This window comes from Homo sapiens, chromosome 14 (genome assembly GCF_000001405.40).
Source record: "Homo sapiens chromosome 14, GRCh38.p14 Primary Assembly".
In the NCBI taxonomy this organism is placed as follows: domain Eukaryota; kingdom Metazoa; phylum Chordata; class Mammalia; order Primates; family Hominidae; genus Homo; species Homo sapiens.
The window spans coordinates 40,255,947-40,277,381 of NC_000014.9; the positions used below are offsets into that span (position 1 = coordinate 40,255,947).

Below are 21,435 nucleotides of genomic sequence, written 5' to 3' on the forward strand. Positions count from 1 at the left end.
ATAAGGGGTTGTCAGATTGTCAAACCTAGAAAATTTCTGCACTGAAAAGGAAGGAGATCCTTTGTACTTCTTTCAAGCAGAATTTATAATGGCTAGAGACCAAGAAGTGCTGTGCATTTGCCATTATCCTCCATTATTAATGGTAGTTTAGTTTTATTTTTCTTGTGCTCCGGCATCATTTTTCAAATATGTACAGAGGAGGTAACTTGTAATTTAGTTTGATATAATCAAACCACAAAGAATCATATCTAGACTTGATCAGAAAAATTAAACATCACCTAGATACCCTATACTTTGACCTGGGTATGAATTGGATAAAGCTTTTTAGTTATTTCCTTTGAGGAGGTGGGAAGTATGCCTCATGCATGGGAAGGTATCATGTATGTACAAATGTAGTGTATGGATATTGGAGAGCCAAAATGTGAACTGCATGAGATACTTGCTTTTGGCCTACATTGTAAATAGTCTTACTTTGTTCCTTACTAATTAAACTCCAGCTTTGTTGTAAGCACCAAAACCTCTAAAAATGTATATTTTCCAACCATCCTTATAGACAGAAATAACCATGTGACTGAGTTCTACCAAATGACATATGAGAAAAAGTCATTGGACAGAGTTTCTAGGAAAGAATCTTAAAACCGAAGAAGAGTCAGCTAGTATAAGTTTGCTTCTTCCTTTTTTTCTTTTGCTCCTTTCCTTTCTTCCTGCTTTAAATACTAAGATGAGGGCCAGAGCTATAGCCTCTCTCTTTACTTTCTTCACATTTTGAAGGTAAAGCTAAGATCTTAGTCTTGGGCTCTGATAGCCACGATCAGTCGATATAAATGTCAGCACATGCCTACCTTCTGACATTTTGTAATATGGGAAAATAAAACCCTGAGTTATTTAAAGTTCTATACAATTAACTCTTTTCTTTATAGATAGCCTTTACAGTATCATATCTACAGTCTCATTTCTACATAAAGTAGAAAGCACGACATAATAGTCTCTTTTACTCATAGCACCATCAAATATGCACTTAATGAAATTGAATATTAATAAAATATATGCTTATTTCATTCATACACCAAAATTAGGGAAAAGACAAAGTAGACTAGCTGTAATTTACACTTGTGGGATTGGGAACATGGTCCAGCATTTTTTCAAAACCATCTCTCTAATTGCTTAAATAATAGAGCCATTAGAATAAGAGTGGGCAATAGATCAAGACCAAGGGTTATTTAAAGTTGTGATTTCTTTGCAAGCTGTGTTCTAAATAGAAGGATGTATAACTGAAATTCCAAGCAATGCTAAGCCATTTACACTAAGTTGCTCTACAACTTCAATTGTTTGCTGAAGTTCCAATGCTACTTATAGGCCTGCAAAAAACCCAGACCGTTTTATAGATATTAAGACTTGTTCAGGCTTATATGTAAATCCCTAGGTTTGTGTGTCCAACTTTCAGATGAGTATTGTCTTTACTACTTTTCCTCTAGGGTTTAATTTTGTGTGCTAATCACATAATTACTTTTTTCCTCAAGAACTTTTTACTAAATTGCACAGGAATATTTATATATTTTTTATGACAACGGCATGTAACAAATAGTATTTTTTTCTATGATTAAGCAATTTTGAAAATTCTGTCGTCACATAATTATTTTATCTAACGTCTATGAAAGCAAACAAATTTCTGAGAATGCAAGAAGTGTAGCAGAAATACAGAAAAAGAAGAGGAATGGAGTGGATAAAGGTAAAAAAAGAAAACAATGAAGAAGAGGAAAGACAAGGAGAAGAGGAAGAATGGTACTATTTTTTCTGTATTTAGTTTTTATCAGGTACTGGAATAATGTCACTGTGTTTATAAAAACATTTAATCTCCTCAACAACTCTATGTAATAGGTCCTAATTATGATAACCATTTTAACATGAGAAGAATCCATATTTAGTGAGTTAAAGAGATTTCCTCATGATCATACAGGTAGTATAGAATAGAAGAGGGGCTTAATTCAAGATGCCTGTCTTAGGAACCAATGCACTTAGTAAAATATAAATCGTGTTGTCTCAGGCCTTTTCTTGCTACCTAAGGCCAAGAGGTAGAAGAGTACTGTGAGAGATACATAGAAATGATTTCCCTCTTCCACAGTTCTTCAATTCATTCTCTTACTGACTTTCTAGGAATTAATCCACTATTGCCTGTAAACCTTACTGTCTGAAGTTTTACTGGGATTTTCCACCCAAAAGATATGGAAATTAAGAGAATAATTTCAAGACCCTTCTTATTTGAAATGTGCCTATAAGCCCCCAGATTAAATTCCTCGATGACTAGAGGATACCTTTCCTCCAACTAATTTGTGAGCACTTTGTGTTTCTGAAATAAGTATAACAGGTCACAAATTCGATGTACAGCATGCTCCTTTAGTGAATCTGATGCTTCTTCAAAATGTCTACTTCTAAGGTAAAATGAATTCTTAGATTTGGAAAGGAAGATAATTTAGTATCACTCTTGGCCATCTGTAAATCACATCCTTAGTTATAACTACCTGCTTCACACCCTGTCCAATTCTACAACTCACTGCTTCCACTTATGTTAGCAACCTACACAGATATATGTCCAAAGATCTAACAGGGAATTCTGGCGCTCTGTGTTACCCTATTGCCATTCACTGCTACTTTCCCTTCTCCACTGGTAAATGGCCAGGTGCCTCCAGACTGTGTGGAGGCTGAGGTTACTGCTGTCTGGCAATGACTCCTATAGTTGCACCCACACAATGAGTTACACCTGCAAGAGCAGATGTGGTAGAGAGAAAGTGGGAGGTCTCTGTATTTGGTTTCTTCCTGACAACCAAGAAGCTAAATAGATGATTGTTGGATAAATGGTGATTTACAACTTTGACAGCTCTCTGCCAGATTAAGGGAGGAAAATCTATTATATTCTCTAATTCTAGGCCTTAACATTAGGAAACTCAACATATTTCTTTTTGATCAAGAATATTATGATACATAAGAATGCCATTAGCAGATCCATTCCACTTTTTGCCTTTAACACTAACCTATAAAGGAATTTTATATAAGCAATATGCTGGCCAGACTACCTTTTGCAATGCACTTTACACAAAATTCAAGAATTTTCGGTCAAAAAAAGTTCTTATGTTCGTCTACCACCTAGCAGAAGAACCGAACAACATTTGAAAATATACACACACATTCCAGAGTATGCTATCAGTTAAGAGATGTTATTCTCTTTTCACACTCAGAAGAGTTGGTCGTGAAAATCTAGTTAGTAGCATAGATTTTATTATTTACACAAATATTTACTGCTTGAGAGTTATGATCACCTCACACACGTAGTCTAAAAACTCCTATGATCAAAGGCACACATGACTGATCAAATAATCTACATAATCCCCAATTACAGGTAAAATCAAGCCTTTACCAATGTGATGAAGTTGTGTTTGAAATGGTACATGCTTTGTTGCTGGTAGAGAGGCATCTGCTTTTGGTGATTGTTTTCACATAATGCCAGGAAGGCCATATGTCCATCGAGGCAACTTGCTTGACATCATGACCTGAATATCCTAGAATTTTCACAATACCTTTTAGAAGGGAGTGGAAAGGTTTAAAAGCCTATACTAAGATTTTTCTATACACAGTTTCCTAAACAGACTTATCAACAACCAATATATGCTAATCAAGATTTTACCATAAGTGTCATTACAGATAAACACTGTAGACTATCTGACAAAAAAAAAAAAGAAATACAAACCTGACTTTACTAGGAATATTACGATAAAAAAAAAAAAAAGACTGTGCAGACCCACTAGGGTAGATCAAATTTTAGGACCCAATTCTTTGTCTGTACTTGTATCTGCATCTTTGCCATGTGGCTTTCTAAATCCTAACCCTAGATGTACTTCTCCACCTCTTGATTTTGAGCTTGGCCATGTAATTTGGTTTGATAACGAAGTGTTAGCAAAATATGACTGAAGCAGAATAGGGAAATGTGCTCACGTGTTTGAACTTGCCATTTTGTGCTCTGTCCACCATGAGAACAACTGAACCCAGGAAGCTTACTAGTCTCAGAAGAATGAGGCATGCAGAATAGACTAAACTATATATGTAGCTGGGAATTACATCTAGTTAAACCTTGCTGGTATCAGAAGACCTACGCTAGCTGACTTGCAGACACATAAATAGGAATAAATGATTATTTCAACTCATTGAGTTTTGGGGTGTTATGGCATACAACTTTACTATAGCCATAACTGACAATTGCAGAAGTTGCTCCCAGGAAATTAGGCGTTACTCTTAAGAAAAACCTAAAATATGATTTTGACCAAGGCTACAAGTGACAAGAAAACTACAATAATTGGCCAGAAGAACAGTGAGAAAACTATTATAGGACACTAGAAAAATTGTGACTTACAATATGTAGTACTGAAACATTTAATACAACTAATGCCTGCAACTGGAAAAAGGATTATATATGTGATAAACATCTAGAGGTACTACAAGGAAACGATGGAATCAGAAAAGAAAGAGCCAATTTGCAAACAGTATTTAGGAGTAGCAGAGACAGTTCAGAATTGCAGAGTTGCTAAATGAAACTGTTTTTCACCAAATTAAAGATGTAGCCATTAAAATACAGCCTCAAGGAAAAGGCCTAATTCAGAGCATTACCATTAAAAGTCATCTCAGGAAAAATATTCAGTGAAGGATGTTGTCATTAAACCTTTCATTAAAACGTCTAAAATAATTAACATACCTTGTAGATCATGTCTCTAAAAACTAACTAGCTTGCTCTTCAACAGGAGATAAGTGGTGCTAGAATGATTAAAGTAGTATTTTTATCAAAATATAATATATCTAAAGTACCTATAGTTGAGTCTAGAGAGAGAGGCATTTGGAAAGAATTATGGACGTTGATTTTGGCAAAGAGAGTTGACCTCAAAATACATAGAAAACTCATAACCTTGTAAAACTAAAATTCTATTAGCAAAAAAGCACTGCCATCTAGACTAGAAGAGATTGAGAGTTCCACTAAAGACTTCTTAGTCTCCAAATTTCTACAAGTGGTTAGCAGGTTGCCAAAAAAAGATGTATGTACCAATTCCCTCTTTATAACTGTCCAAGGAATATGATGAAAAAGAAATGAACTTCCAGAAGGCAGAGGATGAGAACAATGATCTATGGTCATACCCCCAAATTTTAAGTCAAGGAATATTTCCTAGCCCCAGGTAATGCCAAGTGGGATTTCAGAATTGCTATGGACAAGAGACTGCTAAATACCTCCTATTCTTCCCTTTTTAAATGAAATAATTTATTGTTGTTATGTTGTCTCTCTTTAACATTATGTGACAGATTATTTGACTTTTTAGTTCATAGGTCTGTAGATTCAGAGGCACTGCATGTAGAGTTCATCTAGATCATGAGATCCTGGACTTGGAGCCTGAAATCATGATGTGGTTGAAACTTTTGCAGGTTTCATGATGAGGAAAGGATAAAAAATTAGATGCTTGTAGGAAGACATGATTTTAACTTCTAAATATATAGCTAAGAATGAAATCGTAGCATAGTGGTTAAGAGTGTACCAAAAACCTAAACAAGGATTTTAACCACTTACTAACTCCTGGTTGTACTTTATATTTAAAATGGTAGTAATAACATGTAATGATTAGTTATATGTTATAATAAGTATATAGTGTAAGTATATAGTGTACTATATGCAAAGCCCCAGTACAGGGTTGGCCCACCAGTGATTCAGTATATTGTGATCCATATTATTCTCAACTGAATTACTGGTTTTAATTCATTTTATGCCTACCTTTGGCATAGTAAAAGAACTGCATTTTCATTGATGTGATAGTCATGAGATACACATGATTTTAAAAGCTGATAAAAATGTCCAACTGTAATTATTTTCTTAGGTATAATTCTATTATTAATGCAGAAATTCAAGCTGTTAGAATGTCCTATTTTTAATGACAATAATGATCTACTTGTATAGCTATGCTAGCAATATCTGCTAATTCCAACTGTAAATTCTGGATATTAAGCTTTTGTATTACTAACTACAAGAAAAGCATATTATTAATGGTTAAGAGAAGGCATATTTAATAAAATGATTTCAGGCCCAAATTTCTCTTTGAAATATTTCTTGGAAATACACATTCTTTAAGAGTTTCCATTTGTAAAGCAGGTACAGTAGTTAGTTTTGCAATAATCATATTGGTTTTCTATTTTTAATTTTTGAAAATAACCATTCAACGATTCTTTTGTACAACAAATGCTGTAACAGCACTTACAATGTCCTATTAATCACTCTATTATAATTATTAAAATGACAGTCCAATTTAGCCAACTTTGGAGCATTTCTTTCAGAAGCATATCACAAATTTTAAAGGGTGCCTGCTCCTTACTTTTACTACACACACACACACACACACGCACACACACACGCACAGCCACACACCCACTCAAGTTTGGGGAGAAGAGCAAGTCCATGTAAGAAACCCTGATTATACATAATGTGGAACTGTTGTTATTAACTTTTGTAGGTAAATAAGAAATTTGTGTTACATCTGTTACTAAAAGAAGCAAAAATACATATACGTAGGCTAATATTACTGAGCAAATACGACAAACACAAGAACCTTGTAATGGACTATCTCTTTCTAACACCCATGTTTACAGGTTTGGAAGTGCTATGGTTTTAGAAGCCTTATGATCAGCTATTCCTATCCAGACTGTGGCAAAAGAGTCCTTGAATTCCTGTCTATTGATAATTGATGGGCAATTAGGCTTGTTCCAAATTCACTCTTGCAACTTCGTGTGTAAGGAGACTTGCATCAAATGGTAAAGGCTAATAATAGTCCACAAAAATGTTTATTTGGCAGTAACTACAGGAATGCACAAAGGCTAGCCTCTTGGAGAGTGGTCATATGTTTCATCTTACCTGTTTTACTCAGAACATCTCATCTATAATACTTTCCTCGGGAGCAAGAAATATTAACTATTAGGACAACTGTAGCCCTTGGCCCAATTGCTATTTCTCAGCCTGTGGTAACTATGGAAATTATCTCCCATCCGAAACTCCTACTTGATGCTGAGCAGTAAAGAATATTCTGACTTGTGTCATGTAAATGGTAGTGGTGTGTTACTTCAGTTCATTACGAATTATGTCCCATATATCAGCAGTCTCCAATCATTTTGGCAGCAGGGACCGATTTTGTGGAAGACAATTTTTTCACAGATGGCAGAGAGGATGGTTTCTGGATGAAACTCTTTTACCTCGGATCACCAGACATTAGATTCTCATAAGGAGTGCAACCTAGATTATTCACATATTAGTTCACAATAGGGTTAGCTCTCCTGTGAGAATTGAATGCCACCGCTGATCTGACAGGAGGTCGGGCTCAGGTGGTAATGCTTGGGCACTGCTCACTTCCTGCTGTGCGACACAGTTTCTAACAGGCCATGGACCGGTACTGGTCCTTGGCCCAGGGGTTGGGGACCCCGCTATATATAATAGACAGGACAAATCACAGACACATACACTTTTTAAATATATCCTAGGCTGGGCGCGGTGGCTCACGCCTGTAATCCCAGCACTTTGGGAGGCCGAGGCAGGTGGATCACCTGAGGTCAGGAATTCAAGACCAGCCTGGCCAACATGGTGAAACCCCGTCTCTACTAAAAATACAAAAATCATCTGGGCATGGTGGCAGGCACCTGTAATCCCAGCTACTCAGGAGGCTGAGGCATGAGAATCTCTTGAACCCTGGAGGTGGAGGTTGCAGTGAGCCGGTATCACACCATTGCACTCCAGCCTGGGCGACAAGTGCAAGACTCTGTCAAAAAAACCAAAATATATATATATATATTCTATGCAGTTTATAGTAAGTACTTCTGTATTTTTGGCATGTTTTATTTTCTTTCATATAAGGCCTCTGGTATCTTATTTGTATTTTTATTCATGGAAAGGAACTGCTGCTATTCATATTTTGATATATAATTATAATTAATTATCAGTTATTTCCCTTCCCCGTTTCTTAGGCCCATCACTACTCAAAGAATTTCTGTCACCATTAGTACAATTGTAGCACATGGTACATATAAATTATCTGACACTCTTCTTTAAACTTGCCTTGTGACAAAGCTTTACTCAAGGGTGGGAAAATAAGGTGAAAAACTCTTAGCTCAAAAACTGTCAAATCTTAAGCAATTATTCAACCAGTAAATTCTAGAATGCATGGAGTCTTGTGCTAGTGGATAAATGAGCTTCTTTGGAGATCTGACTTCACATCAATTGCTCTGTCTCAGCACTCTGGTTTTTTAAGGGAACTAGTTGGTCCATTTGACCCCCAGAGACAACCTAGTAGGCAGCCAGCATGAGGTTTTAATAACATATGAATTAATTAATAAGGCCTCTCTAGTTAGCAGAAGTGTTGGATTTAGAGGCATTTAATAAGATTAGACTTTCAAACATTATTTGGTGCATTAATTCAAATATGCAAATTAGCATAGCCTAGAGACAAAGGAAGGGAAAAAAGTGAGGGCAGATAGGAATAAAATTAAATTTTGGAAAGATATTTTAGAAAATACACTCACAACCTGAAATTGAGAGGTAGAATTAGAATTGTTCAGCTTATTAAAACTTCCTTCTATTAGTATGTAAGACTACAGTAGATTGGTAAATTTGCAGGCAGATATATATTTAAAATTAGAAATTATCATCTTTTTGCAGGCATTAAAATTGAGTCTACCACATAGTCCTCTCTTGTAATTGCTTCCAATAATGCAGCATCTTTATTCTTAAAAGATTAAAAATAGTACTGCTTTCTATGAATTATAATTAAAGATTTTTACTGTATAACTTGTTTGGTATTTCAGGTGCATCATGCTAATGCCTATATGTTTATTCCTGCTACCTCCAATAGTTCACTGATAATTCAGATTCAGACCAATGGAGAAACCATGGGAGGAAAAAAACAAACTTTTACTCTGAGTAAGTAACACCATTAAAATCAAGTTTGCAAATAAAAATTAAATATAATTTAAAGTATTTCCTGCCAAGCACTTCAAAAATGTAATCTTTAGTACATTTTGAGGTAGCAAGCATTTTTTAAAACTGTAGTTAGTAAATTAAAGCTAAAATAAAATTTTAAAAGAGCCTGTTTCCACCATGTTGTAAATGGAAGTTATTATAATTCAATATTAGATATGAATCAGTTAATTCTACCTCAGCCAAAGCTCTGATATTTTAGAGAACAGCAGATGTTACCCTTTCTAGTACCCCATTAATATACCTAGTCAGTTTTTCCACTATTATCCCTCGGGCAGAGAATAAAGGCATATTTTCTTTTCTGTTTCTTAAGCAAACCCACTTGCTCCCTGAAGCAGAAGATTTAATTATCCTTATTGCATTATATTTGCTTGAATAGCTACAGAAATTATTAATGGGCATAACATTTTCTGATCTTTTTCATGAAATTCAACTATGATATTTATGCTGATTTAATTACCTCTAGCACATTAATTAGTCTAGCAGTAAGAACTAAGGACTTAGGATTTATAACAAGTGTGATTTGTTTCTGTTGATCATTATGATGTGTTACAGCTTAGATACAGAATTCATGTATGTATATATGTGTCTGGAAAGAAGGGAGAGGTGACATACTACATTAACTAGCTGCTCATGGAAATATTTATCAAGAAAACACCCTGAATCTCGCAGTGGGTGCTAGATCAAATACTAAATGACTATATGGCCTTAGGGAAATAATTTAAATTCTGTATCTCAAATTCCATCATTTGCAAAGAGGAAATAATTATAATATTTATGCTATTGGGTTTTTTAAAGTATTAAATAGATTAATGCACATAAAGCACCAAAAGCAATATCCAGTACATCATATGTCGCACATAAGTGTCATTTGCTGTTATTGTTTTTATTATTATTATTAAAGATAAGGAGACTAGATAGGCTTTGAAAAATATATGATGAATTTGTTTTCAGTCACTTTGAGTGCTAAATAGAAATTCACTTCCTGAGTTTCTAATGATCGCCATTCTAACTTGTGTGAGGTGGTATCTCATTGTGGTTTTGATTTGCATTTCTCTGATGGCCAGTGATGCTGAGCATTTTTTATGTGTCTTTTGGCTGCATAAATGTCTTCTTTTGAGAAGTGTCTGCTCATATCCTTTGCCCACTTTTTGATGGGGTTGTTTGTTTTTTTCTTGTAAATTTGTTTGAGTTCATTGTAGATTCTGGATATTAGCCCTTTGTCAGATGAGTATATTGCAAAAATTTTCTCCCATTCTGTAGATTGCCTGTTCACTCTGATGGTAGTTTCTTTTGCTGTGCAGAAGCTGAGGGGATGTGGAGAAATAGGAACACTTTTACACTGTTGGTGGGACTGTAAACTAGTTCAACCATTGTAGAAGTCAGTGTGGCGATTCCTCAGGGATCTAGAACTAGAAATACCATTTGACCCAGCCATCCCATTACTGGGTATATACCCAAAGGATTATAAATCATGCTACTATAAAGACACATGCACACGTATGTTTACTGTGGCACTATTCACAATAGCAAAGACTTGGAACCAACCCAAATGTCCAACAATGATAGACTGGATTAAGAAAATGTGGCACATATACACCATGGAATACTATGCAGCCATGAAAAAAGATGAGTTCATGTCCTTTTTAGGGACATGGATGAAGCTGGAAACCATCATTCTCAGCAAACTATCGCAAGGACAAAAAACCAAACGCCCCATATTCTCACTCATAGGTGGGAATTGAACAATGAAAACACATAGACACAGGAAGGGGAACATTGCACACTGGGGCCTGTTGTGGGGTGGGCGGAGAGGGGAGGGATAGCATTAGGAGATATACCTAACATAAATGACGATTAATGTGTGCAGCACACCAACATGGCACATGTATACATATGTAACAAACCTGCATGTTGTGCACATGTACTCTAAAACTTAAACTATAATTAAAAAAAAAAAAAAGAAACTCACTTCCACACAGACCTCAAATAATTCATATGCTTAAAAACTCCAGAAAATGTGAGCATTCACAGGAGGAAATCAGAAAACTGATAAAATACAAAATATCACAAACAAGATCCATCAAAAACAATACTAAGCAAACTCAGAAATATAATAACGTGAAATATTGAATTTAATAGACACAGTTTAAAACAAGTACCTCTTAAATAAATAAATGGAGGGATTAAAAATATGAGCACACACAATAGGTGATAAAAGTGACCAAACATATTCAAAACAGAATAAAACATAAATTCCAGAAATGAAAACTCTATTTATTAAAATAAAAAATACTTATGTTATTTTGCAGATATTTATTCTGTCAAAACATGAATATATTATTTTTTATCAAATATATTTCATAGTTTAAATGAAAGTTAAGCACGTATTAATTTTCAGAGTTGCATACAAATATAGCAGTATAAAACACCACACATTTATTATCTCACAGTGTCTATGGGTGAGGAGTCTAGTTATGGTTTATCTCGGTCCTCTGCAAAGCTGCAATCAAAATGTTGGTCAGGACAGGGTTCTCATCTGGAGGCTTGATGGGGAACGTATTAGTCCTCTTTCACACTGTTGATAAAGACATACAAGAGACTGGGTAATTTATAAAGAAAAGAGGTTTAATGGACTCACACTTCCACATGGTTGGGGAGGCCTCACAATGATGGTGGATGGCAAAAGGCACGTCTTACGTGGTGGCAGGCAAGGGAGAATGAAAGCCAAGCAAAAGAGGAAACCCCTTGTAAAGCCATCAGATCTCATGAGACTTATTCACTACCATGGAGAAACACAGTATGGGGGAAACTGCCCCCATGATTCAATTGTCTCCCACCAGGTCCCTCCACAACACGTGGGAATTATGGGAGCTGCAATTCAAGATGAGATTTGAGTGGAGACACAGCCAAACCATATCAGGGAATAAATTTGCTTTCAAGTTCATTAAGGTCATTGCAGAAATTATTCCCTTGCAGTGGTAAGAGTCCCTGGCTTCTTGCTAGCTGGTGTCACAGGCCATCCTCAACTTCTTGCCTCATGGACCTCCCAACATCATCATTTATTTTATCAAGCCAGTAAGGGGAGAGAGAGACTCCAGAGTGAGCCTGCAAACAAGATGAAATCTCATATTGTATAAAATAATGTAGTCATGGAAGTGATATTTTAACACTTGGGCCATATTCTATTGGTTACAGGCAAGTCACAGGCCTCACCCACACTCAAGGGGAGGGAATTATACAAGGACAAAGTACCAGAATGCAGGCATTATGAGGAAAAGGACCATTGGTGCTGCCATGAACATCATAGTGAAATATTTGATATAGTAAAACCTAGTCTTCAATTATTAGATTGATGGACTCTGAGTAAAACAAGTAGAACTATATGTCTCTAAAGCAAAGGCCTACAAATACCTTTGCTGAAAGTGCTTTGTCAAAATTGCTGATATAACAATAGTTGAGAGAAGGCATTTTTCTCTAAATTAGTTTTTGCTTTATCGATTATAAGGTTAGACTTTGGAAAATGACCATCAAAATCATTATATTTTATACTTTCATGTGTCAGTACATATCCACCTCACTCTTTGTTTCATATTGGGCAAGCTGACTGATCATTCTCGTGGATTGGCTTCTCAGTCAAATTATATATTTTTTCAGATATGATTTCCAGTATATTCATTTACGTATTTACTTGAAGCCCCTAGTTTTCTTGAGTTAATCAATTATTTCAGTGTCTTGCAGACTCAACTTCGAAAGGATGGAAATGTTTAAATTTTTCTTGTTGCATAAATGTGTAGAAATTTTGAAAAGAGTTTAAAAGCATAATCTTTCAGTGAAAACCTATTCTTAAAATTGTATAAATTAATTAAGAGATATAAGAAACAAAGTTTTTTATTTAAAACATTTTGGCTTCCTTTACCCTAACAGTGAATGCTAGTAATTCACATCTGCAAAGAAAATAGCAAAATATAAAATGAGTATTAATATAGAAAAGATTTACGTGAATTCTAATGATTCAGGTATCATAAACAAATATACTTTTAAGAATATTTTTTAAAGTGGTGAATAAATCAAACATTCACAATTTCAATTGCTGCGCATAAAAATATTTTTAAAGGAATATGTAGTGTGGCCTCTAATTTAATCCATTTCAAACATTTCTTATGACAGCCTGTAATTATATCCTTCACATGTTAGAAATTAGAGACAATGTATGCACTATAAATTTAAAAAGCACTTTTTAAAATGAAAAAGTACAAATATAGAAAATGGCTTAAATTTCAAAATGTAATAGGTTTACCTCTTTGTCTGATTAAATGCGTTCCTTTCAGTACTTGGCATTATCCATAATGATACTCGTCCCCAGAGGCTAAACACCTTAGCCTTATATGGGCACAGTTGTAAAGATTTAAGAAGTAAACTTGGAAAAGATCTGTTTATTGACAGGAAGTATCTGCCCTTTATTTTCTGATACACAAGGGCATCAGAATATTATGATAATTATAGAATAGAGATTGCTGCACAGGTTTGATTTATTGGGCTGCAAAAAAAAAAATCAGTGGTGATGCCTCACGTATTGTATAATTTCACGTAGCTACATCTGTCTGACCCATCTCTTAGCTAATCATATGTTGAATGGAAAGGAGACTGAAGCACTGACAAGGTATCAAGTGGTATCTTCTGGTGACAGGAGAAAATGAATAGGCACACCAGTATTTAATGATATGCCTGGAAGCAATTTTCTGCCACTGAAAAAGTTAAAACTAAGGGACAAAATATATTCCTTCTGTCCTGATAGGAGGCTCACTGAAATTAATAAAAGTTTCAGAAACAAAGAAAAAAACTCTGTTCAGTGTTTCCATTCTAGAATTGTTACGCTGTGAGAAGTTTTAGAGGAGTTTTAACATGATTGGAGAAAAATGTTCGGTCCAAGTGATTTCCAAAGGGAAATCACTTGATATTTCGAAGAGATTTTCAAAGTTCAAAGAAGTCATATTAAGGGATGCTTTAAAGTTTTATTTGAACAAATTTCAAGGCTAAACATTTTGAAAACAATTGGCTAAAGGGCACCTATTTCAAAGACTTGAAACAACTCTCTGGTAATAATGAATTATGACATTTCCCTTCATTATTAATATACACCCCTTGGAAAAACAATGTTGCCTAGTTGTGTCTTTACATTTTTATATTGTGTAGGAATTCATGAGACTCAAGATTTTAAAGTAAAGGAAAAAAATAGTATGAGGTTGCACAACAGAGTGAACTGAAAGGAGTATTTGTGTAGGATAAAGAAGATATGGAATTTTATTTACATAAATGTGAACTGTGTCACCGTCATTCAGAAAAATCAGTTATTCCATTTGTGCATAAGTCCCTTAATCTGTAAAACACATACACTAAAATAAATAATCTCGTCTAGGATAAAAATAAAATTCGATTTGAGTCGGTGAATTCCAAAATATTTGTTTCCTGTTGTCAAAGATTTTTGGTAAATTTTTACAAAATCACATACGTTCAAAGACTTAGGATATTTAAGTTATATACTTGGTACACTTATTCGATATAGCTTCAAAGTTTATATTGTAACTCCTAACAGTTTGTGTTAACAAATTAAACACTTTTTATGAGCTTTGTATATGTTTTAAAAAATGACTAACTCAGTAGTAGAAAGCACCACTTGTACACAGATTGTGATCCCTAAATGGTATTTTCAAAAAGAGAGGGAAAAAAAAGGAGTTAGATCTCAGAAAAAAGACTGACTTCGGGTCTGGAACAGAAAATGTACAAGATGATCCTTGAAACATATTGTCATATAAGAAATATAGAAAAATATAAAAATACATGATTGCCAAAAAAAAAAAGAAAATTAGGAGCCTATGTGAATAGGCTCCCATTGCTCAGATATGGGACAATTTGACCAACATAACAAAAATAACATATTTTAAAATTTTAATGTTTATCATATATTTTTAAGTCATAATGATACTTTAAAAGACGCTGGGCTAGTGCAATGGCTCACTCTTGTAATCCCCACAGTTTGGGAAGGGGAGGTGGGTAAATCAGTTGAGCCCAGGAATTTGAGACTAGCTGGGCAACATGGCAAAGTCCTGGCTCTCAAAAAAAAAAAAAGTATATATACAAAAATTAGCTGGGTGTGGTGGCACATGCTTATATTCCCTGCTACTGGGGCTGAAGAGGTAGGGGGGCAGAGGTGGAGGATTGCTTGAGCCCAGGAGGCCAAGGCTGCAGTAAGCCATAATTGTGCCATTGCATTCCAGCCTGGGTGACAGAGTGAGATCCTGTCTCAAACAAACAAACTAAACAAATAACAAAATAAAATAAAATTAAATTAAAATTAAATATGCTAATTATTCAGTGTTGAAGAATATTAGTAAATCAGTTCATTATTTCGAAACCTGATAACGTGAAAAATAAGCAAGAATAATCAATAAGAGTGAGTTTTTTTAATGCAAAAGTTCCAGGTAATTGAAGAAAGAATGGTAGAATTAGAATATAAATAGTCTGCAATGCCTACTTAGTTCATTGGATCTAAGCAGTGATCATGAATCATCACCTGTAAAGCACCTGCCTCCCCAAAATCTTAGTGGAATTTAATCTAAACTTAATGTTTATTTTATAGGAAATGTAGAGGGTAGAGGTGTGTGTGTAAGTATACCACAGGAATGCAATGAGCAAAATCCAGATGGAGAAATATTCTGTAGGACTAAATACCTGTTTCCCTCAACAAATATGTAGTTAGAAGGAAAATATAGATATTGAAGAAATATGAGACATGTCAACTGATCATAAAATGTGGACCTTATTTGACTTCTGTCTCAAACAAACTAAAATAGAAACATGACATTTATGACAAACGATTGGAAATTTGACCACTGATAAGGTATTTAAAGATAATAAGAAATCAACTTTTTTTATAAAAGTAATATGTTTTTAAAGCTCTATCATTGAGAGATTTAGTAAAATATTTATGGATGGAATAACATGATATCTGAGATTTACTTCATAATGATATGGATTTGGAAAATGGGTGAGTTCACAAGTCTCATGAATTGATAATTGTTGAAACTCTATGAAGGGTACATGGAGGTTCATTTCATATGATGTCTACTTCAATGTGTCAAATTGATCCTTAGTAGAAGTTTTAACTACATACATGTTTTTACTCAATAGCCCATTATGTCAAAGTGCAGCTCCTGACATAAATAAATAAATATATATATATATACACACACACACGTATATATACACATATATAGTGTATATACAAATATATGTACTATATATACACACACACACACACACACACACACACACACACACACACTTCATCTGTATTTTTTATTGCAACTTGGATCCTAGAAAACAGCTTAATTTAGTCAAGGTTTATTTTATGAAAAAATGCCTCTTTAAAATACATAAAAACAAGTTAGTAAACTCCTCCTGTAGAGATTGTTTTAAATTGTTAGTTCAGATGAACAGAAATGTACTATATTCCCCTAGACTTCTAAATTTATAAGAAGATATTAAAGAGTCCACATGTGACACATTTAAATTCTATACTTAATTTGTCACAGTTATAAATTTATACTCCTTTTTATTATTTACATTTTTATTTTAAGCTTTTATCTATATTTATTTACATTACCCCCTTTTATTCTTTCATTGTAAAATTAATATAAGGAAAATTATGAAAATATTAGGATCTTGGTGTATCACTTCCAAAGGCAAACTTGTTTATTATTTTAAGTTTGTAATACTCACTCAAATTCTGATACCCTGAACTTCATAGTAATCTAAAGCAATGTTTGTAGTAAATGAGATCTAGATCTTACAGTATTTCTGTGATATTTAAGACAATCATTGTTGGTTATAAAATGTCAAGAACCACATCATTGTGTATTTAAGAAAAACAAATATAAACATAGCCATAATTCATATATCTCTATATTCATGGATTATACATAGTCTGGAGTTGCTTTTTGTGCTTCTTTATCTAATTTTCTGAACTAGAATCTTAGGTTATTAATTTTAGATCTTTCTACTTTTTAAATATATGCTGAATGCTATACTTTTCCCTCCCAGGACTGCTTTAGTTGAGTTTTGCAAATTTTAATTAGTTGTACTTTTATTTTTTACTTAAAATATTTATAAACTCATATGGGGACTTCTTTGACTCATGGGTTATTTAGAAGTGCATTGTTTAATTTCCAAATTGTTGGGAATTTTTATCTATCTTTCTATTATTGATGTCTAAATTAATTCCACTGTAGACAGACAATATAATTTCTATTGTTTTAAAATTGTTAAGGTATATTTTATGGCCTGGAATGCAGTCTATCTTGGTGATCATTCAATGTAAGCTTGAGAGTATTTATTCTGCTGTTGACCAGAGAAATCTACAGGTGTAATTTAGATCAAGTTTATTGCTGTTCAGGTCATACATATTCATCTTTATTTTTTGACTAATTGATCTATAACTACTGACAGGACTGTTGATGTCTCTGACTATAATAGTGGATTTGGTTATTTTTCTTTTCAGTTCTATCAGTTTTTTTCCTCATATATTTTGATGCTCAGTTGTTAGGTTCGTACTCATTTAACTTGTTTTTTAGTGACGTCATTAGATTTTATAAAATACATTTTAACTAATCTAAACCTTTCATATTTTTTTGTGATCTCACACTGTTTTTTTTTTCCGTAAGTTATTGGGGTACAGGTGGTATTTGGTTACATGAGTAAGTTCTTTAGTGATGATTTGTGAGGTTTTGGTGCACTCATCACCCGGGCAGTATACACTGCAGCATATTTGTAGTCTTTTATCCTTCGCCCCCTCCCACTTTTCCCCCAAGTCCCCACGTTCCATTGTATCGTTATTATGCCTTAGCATCCTCATAGCTTAGCTCCCACACATCAGTGACAACATAAAATGTTTGCTTTTCCATTCCTGGGTTACTTCACTTAGAATAATAGTCTCCAATTTCTTCCAGGTCCCTGCAAATGCTGTTAATTCGTTCCTTTTTATGGCTGAGTAGTATTCCATTGTATATCTAGACCACAGTTTCTTTATCCACTCACTGATGGACATTTGTGTTGGTTCCATGATTTTGCAATTGTGAATTGTACTGCTATAAATATGAGTTTGCAAGTATATTTTTCGTATAGTCACTTCTTTACCTCTGGATAGATACTTAGTGGGATTGCTGGATCAAATGGTAGTTCTACTTTTAGTTCTTTAAGGAATCTCCACACTGTTTTCCATAGTGGCTGTACTAGTTTATATTCCCACCAGCAGTGTAGAAGTGTTCCCTGATCACTGCATCCATGCCAACATCTACTGTTTTTTTATTATTATTTTGTTATTATGGCCATTCTTGCAGGAGTAAGGTGGTATCAAAGGTGAATAAGGTACTCCAAAGTAAGGTATCACCTTACTTTGACTTCCTCTTTATCGATTTGGGTGCCCTTTATTTCCTTCTCTTGTCTGATTGCTCTGGCTAGGACTTCAGTACTATGCTGCAGAGGAGTGGTGAGAGTGGGCATCCTGTCTTGTTCCAGTTCTCAGAGGGAATGCTTTCAACTTTTCCCCATTCAGTATTATGTTGGCTGTGGGTTTTGATTTGCATCTCCCTGATCACTAGTGATGTTGAACATTTTTTCTTATGTTTGTTGGCCATTTGTATATCTTCTTTTGAGAATTCTCTATTCGTGTCCTTAGCCCACTTTTTGATAGGATTATTTGGTTTTTTTTCTTATTGATTTGTTTGAGTTCATTGTAGATTCTGGATATTAGTCCTTTGTCAAATGTATAGATTATGAAGATTTTCTCCCACTCTGTGGGCCATCTGTTTACTCTGCTGGCTGTTCCTTTTGCCATGCAAAAGCTCTTTGGTTTAATTAAGTCCCAACTATTTATCTTTGTTTTTATTGCATTTGCTTTTGTGTTCTTGATCATGGAATCTTTGCCTAAGCCAATTTCTAGAAGGGTTTTTCCAATGTTATCTCCTAGAATTGTCATAGCTTTAGGCCTTAGATTTAAGTCTTTAATCTATCTTGAGTTGATTTTTGTATATGATGAGAGATAAAGATCCAGTTTCAATCTCCTGCATGTGGCTAGCCAATTATCCTAGCACCATTTGTTTAATAGGGTGTCCTTTCCCCACATTTATGTTTTTGTTTGCTTTGTTGAAGATTAGTTGGCTTTAAATATTTGGGTTTACTTCTGGGTTATCTATTCTGTTCCATTGGTCTATGTGCCTATTTTTACACCAGTACCATGCTGTCAGGGTGACTATGGCCTTACAGTATAGTTTGAAATCAAGTAGTGTGATACTTCCAGATTTGTTATTTTTGTTTAGTCTTGCTTTGGCCATGCAGGCTCTTTTCTGATTCCATCTAAAGTTTAGAATTTTTTTCTAATTCTGTTTAGGATGATGGTGGTATATTGCTGGGGATTGCATTGAATTTGTAGATTGCTTTTGGCAGTATGATCATTTTCACAATTTTTGATTCTACTCATCCATGGGCATGGGATGTCTTTCCATTTGTTTGTGTTATCTATGATTTCTTTCAGCAGTGTTTTGTAGTTTTCCTTGTAGAGGTCTTTGGACTCCTTCGTTATATATATTCCTAAGTATTTTTTTTTTTTGCAGCTATTGTAAAAGGGTTGAGTTCTTGATTTGATTCTCAGTTTGGTCGCTGTTGGTGTATAGAAGAGCTACTAATTGTTTTACATGAATCTTGCATTCCAGAAACTTTGCTGAATTCTTTTATCAGTTCTAGGAGCTTTCTGGAGGAGTCTATAGGGTTTTCAAGGTAAACAGTCATATCATAAGCAAACAGTGACAGTTTGACTTCCTCTTTATCAATTTGGGTGCCCTTTATTTCTTTCTCTTGTCTGATTGCTCTGGCTAGGACTTCAGTACTATGTTGTAGAGGAGTGGTGAGAGTGGGCATCCTATCTTGTTCCAGTTCTCAGAGGGAATGCTTTCAACTTTTCCCCATGCAGTATTATGTTGGCTGTGGGTTTTTCATAGGTAGCTTTGGTTACATTGAGGTATGTCCCTTGTATGCCAATTTTGCTGAGAGTTTTAATCATAAAGGGATGCTGGATTTTGTTGAATGCTTTTTCTGCGTCTATTGAGATGATCATGTGATTTTTGTTTTTAATTCTGTTTATGTGGTGTGTCACATATGTTGACTTGTGTATGTTGAATCATCCCTGCATCCCTGGTATGACAACTTGATCATAGTGGATAATCCTTTTGATATGTTGTTGGATTCAGTTAGCTAGTATTTTGTTAAGGATTTTAGCGTCTATATTCATCAAGGATATCAGTCTGTAGTTTTCTTTTTTGGTTATGTCCTTTCCTGGTTTTGGTATTAGGGTGATGCTGGCTTCATAGAATGAATTAAAGAGAGTTCCTTCTTTCTCTATCTTGTGGAACAGTGTCAAAAAGATTGGTACCAATTTTTCTTTGAATGTCTGGTAGAATTCTGCTGTAAATTCGTCTGGTCAGTGGTGTCAGTTGTCTCCTGTTTCATTTCTTAATGAGGCTATTTGCATCTTTTCTTTTCTTGGTTAATCTTGCTAGTGGTCTATCAATTTTATTTATCTTTTCAAAGAAACAGATTTTGTTTCATTTATCTTTTGTATTTTTGTTTCTTTGTTTGTTTCAATTTTATTTAGTTCTGCTCTGATATTGGTTATTTCCTTTCTTCTGCTAGGTTTGGGTTTGCTTTGTTCTTGCTTCTCTAGTTCCTTGAGGTATGACCTTAGAATTTCAGTTTGTGCTCTATCAGTCTTTTTGATGTAGGCATTTAGGATTATGAACTTTCCTTTTAGCACTGCCTTTGCTATAACCCAGAGGTTTTGATAGGTTCTGTCTTTATTGTTGTTCAGTTTGAAGAATTTTTAAATTTCCATCTTTATTTTACTTTTGACTCATTGCTCATTCAGGAGCAGGTTATATAATTTCCATGTGTTTGCATGGTTTGAAGTTTCCTTTTGGAGTTGATTTCCAGTTTTATTTCACTGTGATCTGAGAGAGTGCTTTGTATAATTTCAATTTTCTTAAATTTACTGAGGCTTGTTTTATCTCCTATCATATTGTCTATCTTGGAGAAAGTTCCATGCTCTGTTGAATAGAATGTATATTCTGTGGTTGTTGGATGAAATGTTCTGTGTATATTTGTTAAGTCCATTTGTTCCAAGGTATAGTTTAAATCTATGGTGTCTTTGTTGACTTTCTGTCTTGATGACCTGTCTAGTACTGCCAGTGGAGTACTGAAGTCCCTCACTATTATTGTGTTTCTGTCTATCTCATTTCTTAGGTCTATTAGTAATTGCTTTAAAAATGTGGGAGCTCCATTGTTAG

The 21,435-nt window shown here is 34.4% G+C and overlaps 2 long non-coding RNA genes across 2 annotated transcripts in view; one reads left to right on the plus strand and one right to left on the minus strand.

Moving 5' to 3' along the window:
- The window catches only part of LOC105370464 (uncharacterized), a 47,489-nt gene extending 38,118 nt beyond the window's left edge, over positions 1-9,371 (plus strand). Inside the window, exon 3 of the long non-coding RNA XR_001750738.2 lies at positions 8,869-9,371. This is a non-coding gene — a long non-coding RNA (uncharacterized LOC105370464). The remainder of the gene's footprint in view (positions 1-8,868) is intronic.
- The window catches only part of LOC105370463 (uncharacterized), a 117,571-nt gene that overhangs the window by 24,940 nt on the left and 71,196 nt on the right, over positions 1-21,435 (minus strand). The window lies entirely within an intron of this gene.